Source organism: Homo sapiens, chromosome 13 (genome assembly GCF_000001405.40).
Source record: "Homo sapiens chromosome 13, GRCh38.p14 Primary Assembly".
NCBI classification, from domain to species: domain Eukaryota; kingdom Metazoa; phylum Chordata; class Mammalia; order Primates; family Hominidae; genus Homo; species Homo sapiens.
In genome coordinates this window covers 80,696,797-80,708,049 of record NC_000013.11, presented here as the reverse complement: position 1 = coordinate 80,708,049, position 11,253 = coordinate 80,696,797, and the positions used below count along the sequence as shown (strand labels likewise).

General features: G+C 44.9%; 1 long non-coding RNA gene across 2 annotated transcripts, besides 2 other annotated features; it reads left to right on the top strand.

The window, feature by feature from the left end:
• Positions 1-1,510: 1,510 nt before the first annotated feature.
• Positions 1,511-10,873, top strand: LOC105370278 (uncharacterized). 2 transcript variants are annotated; one of them, XR_001749944.3, is made up of 3 exons: positions 1,511-1,609; positions 3,118-3,262; positions 10,307-10,873. It is a non-coding gene; the product is annotated as an uncharacterized LOC105370278 (long non-coding RNA). The 2 variants fall into 2 exon arrangements; XR_942121.4 differs by lacking the exon at positions 10,307-10,873 and adding an exon at positions 3,806-3,845.
• Positions 2,988-3,488: an enhancer, noted in NCBI's record as "H3K4me1 hESC enhancer chr13:81278697-81279197 (GRCh37/hg19 assembly coordinates)". NCBI's record gives its function as "activates a minimal SCP1, AML or CMV promoter by ChIP-STARR-seq in naive H9 embryonic stem cells {active_cell/tissue: H9 hESC(naive)}" and the evidence as "EXISTENCE:reporter gene assay evidence [ECO:0000049][PMID:30033119]".
• Positions 3,489-3,989: an enhancer, noted in NCBI's record as "H3K4me1 hESC enhancer chr13:81278196-81278696 (GRCh37/hg19 assembly coordinates)". NCBI's record gives its function as "activates a minimal SCP1, AML or CMV promoter by ChIP-STARR-seq in naive H9 embryonic stem cells {active_cell/tissue: H9 hESC(naive)}" and the evidence as "EXISTENCE:reporter gene assay evidence [ECO:0000049][PMID:30033119]".
• Positions 10,874-11,253: the final 380 nt, after the last annotated feature.

The following is an 11,253-nucleotide window of genomic DNA, read 5'->3' as shown; positions in this document are numbered from 1 at the left end:
AGGCAGCAGAAACCTCTGCAGACTTAAAAGTCCCTGTATGACAGCTGGAAGAGAGTGGTGGTTCTCCCAGCACGCAGCTTGAGATCTGAGCATCAACAGACTGCCTCCTCAACTGGGTCCTTGAACTCCGAGTAGGCTAACTGGGAGGAACCCCCCAGTAGGGGCAGAATGACACCTCACAAGGCCAGGGGAGAAGAGGGGCTGGCTCTCAGTACCCGCCTCGCGGGGGGTGCATCCCCACCCTGCAATGGGGGTCCTAAGAGCCAGGGGGGAAGAGGGGCAGGTTCTCAGTCCCCGCCTCGGAGGGGGGTGCCTCCCCCCACTCTGATGGGGGTCCTAAGAGCCAGGGGCGGAAGACGGGCTGGCTTTCAGTCCCCACTCTAGCGGGGGTTGCCTCCCGTTCCTGCAATGGGGGTCCTAAGAGCCAGGGTGGAAAGACGGGCTGGGTCTCAGTTCCCGCCTAGAGGGCGGTGCCTCCCCACCCTTCAATGGGGGTCCCAAGAGCCAGGGGGGGAGAGTGGCTGCCTCTCAGTCCCGGCCTCGCGGGAGGTGCCTCCCCCCTCTGCTATGGGGGTCCCAAGAGCCAGGGGGGGAAGAGGGGCTGGCTCTCAGTCCCCGCCTCGCAGGGGGTGCCTCCCCCCCCCCGCGTTGGGGGTCCTAAGAGCCAGTGGGGGAAGAGTGGCTGGTTCTCAATTGCTGCACCGTGGAGGGTGCCTCCCCCACCTGCGATGGGGGTCCTAAAAGCCAGGGGTGGAAGAGGTGCTGGCTCTCAGTCCACACCTCACGGGGGGTGCCTCCTGCACCTGCGATGGGGGTCCCAACAGCCTGGGGGGGAAGAGGGGCTGGCTCTCAGTCCCTGCCTCGCGGGGGAGCCTCCGCCCGGTGCGATGGGGGTCCTAAGAGCCAGGGGGGGAAAAGGGGCTGGCTCTCAGTCCCCGCCTCACGGAGGGTGCCTCACCACGCTGCGATGGGGATCCTAAGAGGCAGTGGGGGAAGAGGGGCTGGCTCTCAGCTACCACAAAATGGGTGGACTTTATGTTCAGGTTTTGCCCAAGAGTCAGCTTATTTGCTTCTTGTACTAGCGGGGCAGTTGCTACCACAGCCCTCAAACAGGGGGGCCATCCTTTAGAAACCTTGGGTAGTTGTTTAGAGACGTAGACCACCGGCCTCAGACAGGGCCCCACAGTTTGGGTTAAAAGTCCAACTGCCATCTTTTCTCTCTCTGACGCATTCAATGGCAAAGACTTTGTCAGATCGGGTAGCCCCAGGGCTGGGGCGGCCAGAAGTTTTTCCTTTAACTCATGAAAGACTGGCTGTTGTTGGGATCCCCATTCCAAAGGTTCCCGGTCCCTGCCCCCTTTGTGACCTCATACAAAGGCTTGGCTAGTAATGCAAAGTTTGGGATCCACAGGCTACAAAACCCCACAGCTCCTAAGAATTCTCTAACCTGCCTTCTGCTCTTAAGCTCCGGTAGATTGCAAATAACCTGCTTTCTTTCTGTTCCCCAGCTGCGTTCGGACCCCTGTCGGATAGGAAATCCCAAGTAAGGTACCTGCCATCGGCAGATTTGAGCTTTCTTCTTGGACACCTGATACCCACAGTCCTCCAGGTGGGTCCTAAGGATCTTAGGATCCACGATGGGGGTCCTAAGCCAGGGGGGAAGACGGGCTGGCTCTCAGTCCCCACCTTGCGGGGGTGCCTCCCCCACTGCGATGGGGGTCCCAAGAGCCTGGGGGGGGAAGAGGGGCTGGCTGAGTCCCTGCCTCGCGGGGGTGCCTCCCCCCAGTGCGATGGGGGTCCTAAGAGTCAAGGGGGGAAAAGTGGCTGGCTCTCAGTCCCTGCCTCGCGGGGGGTGGCTCCCCCTGGTGCGATGGGGATCCTAAGAGCCAGGGGGGGAAGAGGGACTGGCTCTCAGTCCCCGCGTCGTGGGGGTTGCATCCCCCCCTGCTCTCAGTCCCTACCTCATGGGGGGTGCCTCCCCCCGGTGTGATGGGGATCCTAAGAGTCGGGGGGGAAGAGGGGCTGGCTCTTAGTCCCCACCTCGCTGGGGGTGCCTCCCCCCACTGCGATGGGGGTCCCAAGAGCCGGGGGGGAAGAGGGGTTGGCTCTGAGTCCCCGCCTCACGGGGGGTGCCTCCCCCCCACGATGGGGGTCCCAAGAGCCAGGGGGGTAAGAGGGGCTGGCTCTCAGTCCCTGCCTCGCAGTGGGTGCCTCCGCCCCCAGCGATGCGGGTCCTAAGAGCAAGGGGGGGAAGAGGGGCTCGCTCTCCATCCCCGCCTCGCGAGGGGTGCCTCCCCCCCTGCGAAAGGGGTGCTAAGAGCCAGGGAGGGAAGGGGGCAGGCTCGCAGTCCCCACCTTGCAGGGATTGCCTCCCCCCCTGCGATGGGGGTGCTAAGAGCCGGGGAGAAGTGGGGCAGGCTCGCACTCCCCACCTCGCATGGGTTGCCTCCCACCCTTGCAATGAGGGTCCCAAGAGCCAGGGGGCAAGAAGAGCTGGCTCTCAGTACCCGCCTAGTGGGGTTGCCTCCCCCACGCTGTGATGGGGGTCGCAAGTGCCAGTGGAGGAAGAGGAGCTGGCTCTCAGTCCCCGCCTCGTGGGGGGTGCCTCTCCACACTGTGATGGGGGTCCCAAGAGCCAGGGGTGGAAGAGGGGCTGGATCTCAGCCACCACAAAATGGGGGGGCCTTTATGTTCAGGTTTTGCCCAAGAATCAGCTTATTTGCTTCTTTTACTAGCAGGGCAGTTGCTGCCACGGCCCTCAAACAAAGGGGCCATCCTTTAGAAACCCTGTCTAGTTGTTTAGAGACGTAGGCCACCGGCCTCAGATAGGGCCCCACAGTTTCGGTTAAAAGTCCAGCTGCCATCTTTTCTCTCTCTGACGCATACAATGGAAAAGGCTTTGTCAGATCGGGTAGCCCCAGGGCTGGGGCTGCCAGAAGTTTTTCCTTTAACTCATGACAGACTTGCTGTTGTTGGGATCCCCATTCCAAAGGTTCCCGGTCCCTGCCCTCTTTGTGACCTCATACAAAGTCTTGGCTAACACTGCAAAGTTTGGGATCCACAGTCTACAAAACCCCACAGCTCCTAAGAATTCTCTCACCTGCCTTATGCCCTTAGGCTCCGGTAGATTGCAAATAACCTGCTTTCTTTCTGTTCCCGGGCTGCCTTCGGAACCCTGTGGGAGAGTAAATCCCTAGTAAGGTACCTGCCGTTGACAGATTTGAGCTTTCTTCTTGGACACCTAATACCCACAGTCCTCCAGGTGGGTCCTAAAGATCTTAGGATCCGCGATGGGGGTCCTACGCTAGGGGGGAAGAGGGGCGGGCTCTCAGTTCCCGCCTCACAGGGGGTGCTTCCCCACCCTGCGATGGGTTTCCTAACAGTCATTGGCAGAGGAGGGGCTGGCTCTCAGTCCCCACCCTCACGGGGGGTGCCTCCCGCTCCTGTGATGGGGGTCCCAAGAGCCGGGGGTGGGGAGACCGGCTGGCACTCAGTTCCCGCCTTGCGGGCGGTGCCTCCCACCCTACGATGGGGGTCCCAAGAGCCAGGGGGGGAAGAGGGGCTGGCTCTCAGTCCCCACCTCGCGGGAGATGCCTACCCCCAGTGCGAGGGGGGTCCTAAGAGCCGGGGGGGAAGAGGGGCTGGCTCTCAATCCCTGCCTCGCGGGGGGTGCCTGCACTCCCTGCGATGGGTATCCCCCCCTACAGGGGACCCCCCCCCCGTAGATAAAACCACAAAGATGTGGAAAAAACAGAGCAGAAAAACTAAAAATTCTAAAAATCAGTGCGCCTCTCCTCCTCCAAAGGAATGCAGCTCCTCACCATCAACGGAACAAAGCTGGACGGACAATGACTTTGACGAGTTGAGAGAAGAAGGCTATAGATGATCAAACTTCTCCGCGCTAAAGGAGGAAGTTTGAACCCAACTCAAAGAAGTTAAAAACCTTGAAAAAAGATTAGATGAATGGCTAACTAGAATAACCAATGCAAAGGAGTCCTTAAAGGACCTGATAGAGCTGAAAACCATGGCATGAGAACTACGTGACGCATGCAGAAGCTTCAGTAGCTGATTCGATCAAGTGAAAGAAAGGGTTTCAGGGATGGAAAGTCAAACGAATAAATTGAAGCGAAAAGAGAGTTTCAGAGAAAAAAGTATAAAAAGAAATGAACAGAGATTCCAGGAAATATGGGACTATGTGAAAAGACCAAATCTACATCTGATTGGTGAACCTGATAGTAACGGGGAGAATGGAACCACGTTGGAAAACACTCTGTGGTATATTATCCAGGAGAACTTACCCAAGCTAGCAAGGCAGGCCAACATTCAAATTCAGAAAATACAGAGACCACCACCAAGATACTCCTCAAGAAGAGTAACTCCAAGACACATAATTGTCAGATTCACCAAAGTTGAAATGAAGGAAAAAATATTAAGGTCAGCCAGAGAGAAACGTCGGGTTACCCACAAAGGGAAGACCATCAGACTAACAGCTGATCTCTCAGCAGAAACTCCACAAGCCAGAAGAGAGTGGGGGCCAATATTCAACATTCTTAAAAAAAGAATTTTCAACCCAGAATTTCATATCCAGCCAAACTAAGCTTCATAAGTGAAGGAGAAATAAAATACTTTACAGACAAGCAAATGCTGAGCGATTTTGTCACCACCAGGCCTGCCCTACAAGAGCTCCTGAAGGAAGCACTAAACATGGAAAGGAACAACCGGTACCAGCCACTGCAAAAACATGCCAAATTGTAAAGACCGTCAAGGCTAGGAAGAAACTGCATCAACTGACGAGCAAAATAACCAGCTAACATCATAATGACAGGATCAAATTCACATATAACAATATTAACCTTAAATGTAAATGAGCTAAATGCTCCAATTAAAAGACACAGACTGGCAAATTGGATAAAGAGTCAAGACCCATCAGTGTGCTGTATTCAGGAAACCCATCTTACATGCAGAGACACACACAGGCTCAAAATAAATGGTTGGAGGAAGATCTACCAAGCAAATGGAAAACAAAAAAAGGCAGGGGTTGCAATCCTAGTCTCTGATAAAACAGACTTTAAACCAACAAAGATCAAAAGAGACAAAGACCATTATGTAATGGTAAAGGGATCAATTCCAGAAGAAGAACTAACTATGTTAAATATATATGCATCCAATACAGGAGCACCCAGATTCATAAAGCAAGTCCTTAGAGACCTACGAAGAGACTTAGACTCCCACACAATAATAATGGGAGACTTTAACACCCCACTGTCAACATTAGACAGATCAACGAGACAGAAAGTTAACAAGGATTTCCAGGAATTGAACTCAGCTCTGCATCAAGCAGACCTAATAGACATCTACAGAACTCTCCACCCCAAATCAACAGAATATACATTCTTTTCAGCACCACACCACACTTACCCCAAAATTGACTACATAGTTGGAAGTAAAGCACTCCTCAGCAAATGTAAAAGAAGAGAAATTATAACGAACTGTCTCTCAGACCACAGTGCAATCAAACTAGAACTCAGGATTAAGAAACTCACTCAGAACCATTCAACTACATGTAAACCAAGCAACCTGCTCCTGAATGACTACTGGGTACATAATGAAATGAAGGCAGAAATAAAGATGTTCTTTGAAACCAACAAGAACAAAGACACAACATACCAGAATCTCTAGGACTCATTTAAAGCAGTGTGTAGAGGGAATTTTATAGCACTAAATGCCCACAAGAGAAGGCAAGAAAGATCTAAAATTCACACCCTAACATCACAATTTAGAGAAGCAAGAGCAAACACATTCAAAAGCTAGCAGAAGGCAAGAAACAACTAAGATCAGAGTAGAACTGAAGGAGATAGAGACACAAAAAACCCTTCAAAAAATCAATGAATCCAGGAGCTGGTTTTTTGAAAAGAACAACAAAATTGATAGACTAACAAAGAAGAAAAGAGAGAAGAATCAAATAGACACAATAAAAAATGATAAAGGTGATATCACCACTGATCCCACAGAAATACAAACTACCATCAGAGAATACTATAAACACCTCTATGCAAATAGAAAATCTAGAAGAAATGGATAAATTCCTGGACACATACACTCTCCCAAGACTAAACCAGGAAGAAGTTGAATCCCTGAATAGACCAATAAAAGGCTCTGTAATTGAGGCAATAATTAATAGCCTACCAACCAAAAAAAGTGTAGGACCAGACGGATTCACAGCCGAATTCTACCAGAGGTACAAGGAGGAGCTGGTACATTCCTTATGAAACTATTCCAATTAATAGAAAAAGAGGGAATCCTCCCTAACTGATTTTATGAGGCCAGCATCATCCTAATACCACAGCCTGGCAGAGACACAACAAAAAAAGAGAATTTTAGACCAATATCCCTGATAAACATCGATGCAAAAATCCTAAATAAAATACTGGCAAACCGAATCCAGCAACACATCAAAAAGCTTATCCACCATGATCATGTGGGCTTCATCCCTGGGATGCAAGGCTGGCTCAACATACACAAATCAATAAACGTAATCCAGCATATAAACAGAACCTACAACAAAAACCACATGATTATCTCAACAGATGCAGAAAAGGCCTTTGACAAAATTCAACAACCTTCATGCTAAAAACTCTCAATAAATTAGGTATTGATGGGACGTATCTCAAAATAATAAGAGCTATTGATGACAAACCCACAGCCAATGTCATACTGAATGGGCAAAAACTGGAAGCATTCCCTTTGAAAACTGGCACCAGACAGGGATGCCCTCTCTCATCGCTCCTATTCAACATAGTGTTGGAAGTTCTGGCCAGGGCAATCAGGCAGGAGAAAGAAATAAAGGGTATTCAATTAGGAAAAGAGGAAGTCAAATTGTCCCTGTTTGCAGATGACATGACTGCTGTATATCTAGAAAACCCCATCATCTCAGCCCAAAATCTCCTTAAGCTGATAAGCAACTTCAGCAAAGTCTCAGGATACAAAATCAATGTGCAAAAATCACAAGCATTTTTATACACTAATAACAGACAAACAGAGAGCCAAATCATGAGTGAATTCCCATTCACAATTGCTTCAAAGAGAATAAAATACCTAGGAATCCAACTTACGAGGGATGTGAAGGACCTCTTCAAGGAGAACTACAAACCACTGCTCAACAAAATAAAAGAGGATACAAACAAATGGAAGAAAATTCCATGCTCATGGATAGGAAGAATCAATATCATGAAAATGGCTATACTGCCCAAGGTAATTTATAGACTCAATGCCATCCCCATCAAGCTACCAATGACTTTCTTCACAGAATTGGGAAAAACTACTTTAAAGTTCATATGGAACCAAGAAAGAGCCTGCACTGCCAAGTAAATCCTAAGCCAAAAGAACAAAGCTGGAGGCATCACGCTACCTGACTTCAAACTATACTACAAGGCTACAGTAACCAAAACAGCATGGTACTGGGACCAAAACAGAGATATAGACCAACGGAACAGAACAAAGCCCTAAGAAATAATACCACACATCTACAACTATCTGGTCTTTGACAAACCTGAGAAAAACAAGAGATGGGGAAAGAATTCCCTACTTAATAAATGGTGCTAGGAAAACTGGCTAGCCACATGTAGAAAGCTGAAACTGGATCCCTTCCTTATATCTTATACAAAAATTAATTCAAGATGGATTAAAGACTTAAATGTTAGACTTACAACCATAAAAACCCTAGAAGAAAATCTAGGCAATACCATTCAGGACACAGGGATGGGCAAGGACTTCATGTCTAACACACCAAAAGCAATGGCAACAAAAGCCAAAGTTGACAAATGGGATCTAATTAAACTAAAGAGCTTCTGCACAGCAAAAGAAACTACCATCAGAGTGAACAGGCAACCTACAGAATGGGAGAAAATTTTTGCAATCTACTCATCTGACAAAGGGCTAATATCCATAATCTACAAAGCACTCAAATTCACAAGAAAAAAACAAACAACCCCTTCAACAAGTAGGCGAAGGATATGAACAGACACTTCTCAAAAGAAGACGTTTATGCAGCCAAAGACACATGAAAAAATGCTCATCATCACTGGCCATCAGAGAAATGCAAATCAAAACCACAATGAGATACCATCTCACACCAGTTAGAATGGCAATCATTAAAAAGTCAGGAAACAACAGGTGCTGGAGAGGATGTGGGGAAACAGGAACACTTTTACACTGTTGGTGGAACTGTAAACTGGTTTAACCATTGTGGAAGTCAGTGTGGCGATTCCTCAGGAATCTAGAACTAGAAATACCATTTGACCCAGCCATCCCATTACTGGGTATATAGCCAAAGGATTATAAATCATGCTGCTATAAAGACACATGCACACGTATGTTTATTGCAGCACTAGTCACAACAGCAAAGACCTGGAATCAACCCAAATGTCCAACAATGATGGACTGGATTAAGAAAATGTGGCATATGTACACCATGGAATACTATGCAGCCATAAAAAATGATGAGTTCATGTCCTTTGTAGGGACATGGATGAAGCTGGAAACCATCACTCTTAGCAAAATATCGCAAGGACAAAAAACCAAACAGTGCATGTTCTCACACATAGGTGGGAATTGAACAATGAGAACACTTGGACACAGGAAGGGGAAAATCGCACAATGGGCCTGTTGTTGGGTGGGGGGAGGGGGGAGGGGGGAGGGATAGCATTAGGAGATATACCTAATGTAAATGACAAGTTAATGTGTGCAGCACACCAACATGGCACATGTATACATATGTAACAAATCTGAACGTTATGCACATGTACCTTAGAACTTAAAGTATAATAATAAAAAAAAGAAAAAAAAGAAAATGTCATAGCTCTATAATTACATCATCTTTTATTAATGTGTTATTTACACTAAAAACAACTAATATAATCTACTTATTTCATGAAAAATAACAATCACAAAATCAAGATTTGACCCCTAATTAAATATAATGCAATGCAATATACAATGGGGCAAAAAACCCATGAGTTGACTAAATGAATAACGATGCTTTATTAGCTAAATTTGTGCCAAAAATATAATCTTTTTTTTATTGTAAGAGTTTTTCAAAGAAGTAATAACTATTATTCTTGATTTATACATCTTATCAAGAAGTTTGATTTTGGAGCTGTCCCAATTTCTTAAGTATAGTCACAATATACAAGGCATGGTAGAATTACTTTAAAAATCAGATATTCTGAGGTGTATTAATGACATCATATCAGCCTGAAGCTATTTCAGCTTGAGGGCTATAAGTGACTTTTCTCTCATCCCTTTGGCTATGAGTTTTCTAGTGTGCAGGAAGATAAATGCTGTCCTGAGTATGGTAGTGTCCAAGAGATAATAAAAATCAAGAAAAGTGTTTTTTAAAAAAGTTATCCGCTATTATTTTTCTTTCATAACAAATATAACTATGGTGAAAAGTGAATAATTTACTTACTAAATTTATAGTCTAATTTACATAGGGCCAAATATTAACATATGAGCTCCACTTTCACTCCAAAGTTATCATAGAAATTCAATTTAAATGACACTGAAGAAATGGGCTGCTTTGTTTTTTGCACTCTTTCAGTAGAGAAAATATCAGGATTTACTATTTCTATGTAACTGAGAATTTAGTTTTATTCTTAATTAACCATCACTAATAGAATGGCCCTAAAATTGTGATTTTTTTTCTTTTTTTTAAAAAAAGGGTCTTACAAAGAATGGACCTCTCTTCAGTTTTAGAAGCTAATAGAAATAGTCAGCTTTTTGAACTATTTCTGGCAGGGTGATCAATCTACTATACAGTGAATTTCCATCAATACTAAAAATTTCAGTATATCTGGAATTTTAATTTTTGACTATGTAAACAAATGAGTTGACTTAAATTCTCTAGAATCAAAAGTCTTCTATGGAAAAGGCAGTATTGCATTGCAGTTTAGAACTTAAAACTTTGGAGTTAAATCTAAATTGAATCGTATTTCCACCACTTCCTAGCTGTGTATACACTTAGCCAACTTCCATAAGCCCCATATATTTACTATTCTCATCTGTAAAATTGGACAATAACATCTTGGGTCACTGGGAGAGTAAAAATGAGATAATTTTGTTTAAATGCTTAGCATGGTGATTGGCACAAATGATCAACAGTTACTTTTATTCGTAGAACAAATAAATTACTTTTGTAAAAATAAATTTGACTTATTATTTGGGTTTTCTGTGCAAAATATAAACTACCACGTGTGGTTTAGATAACAACAATATTAAGCGGTATGCCCTGTCTTTTTTTCTAATGGAGGTGTGAAAGAAATACTCAAGTGACTGTGTTGCTGGTGGGAAAAAGCGTATCATTTCCTGGGGTCTTCAGGGTACAGTTGTGCTCAAAATTAAACACTTCTAGGGATTATGCTGTGACCCTTTTAATATGTGCTTTTAATTTTTTTCATTTCTTAATACTCTTTTTTCTATACTCAATGGTGCAAGCTTCTGGTTTTCTACTGGCTCCTTATTTAAGAATGTGAAAACATCCAGATATTTGAGAGGGTAGAAGTGGAAATTAGGAATGCCTAAACAAACTCTAAAAGAAGAATTTTAGCAGTATTAATTTATTGGCTTTATCAATTAATTGGTATTATGGCTACTATCCTAACTACTTGAATCCCTACTTGGTCAATAACAAATATTATGAAAATATCTAAGCTTTTCTTCTGGCCTATAAAATTTAAAAAATTAGCAAAACATATCACGTTGAAGACATTCATTTTTCACAGAGAGCAGTGAAGGCATTTCTCTATTTCCTTTCCCCCATCCTACCCTAGGATTGCTCTGCAGTATTCATGTGTTAGTATAGGTCAACAAAAAGCACTATACTTGTGTTCACCTGTTTAAAATGATGTTAATACACTTAATGCTATAAAAAAAAAAAACCAAAAAGGTTCGATAGGTACATTCACCCTCATGAAGAAGTTGTTTAGGTGCAACACTGTAAACAAAATCTAAATAAATGCAACAATTTTCATCTTAGCAGATTGGTGAAAAATGTTATTCTTTTGATTATAGTTACTTTTGTCCCTGTGCCTTGAACACACTGAACAGCATCTTACTCTATAAACTGCTAGCCCTTAATGTGGTGGTCTAAATTTTATTTTTTCTTTTTTATTGCTAACTGATTATTACTATCATTGAGGAAAGTTATTGGTTTCTACATATTTATTATGTATTCTGCTATGATATATAATGTCTTAT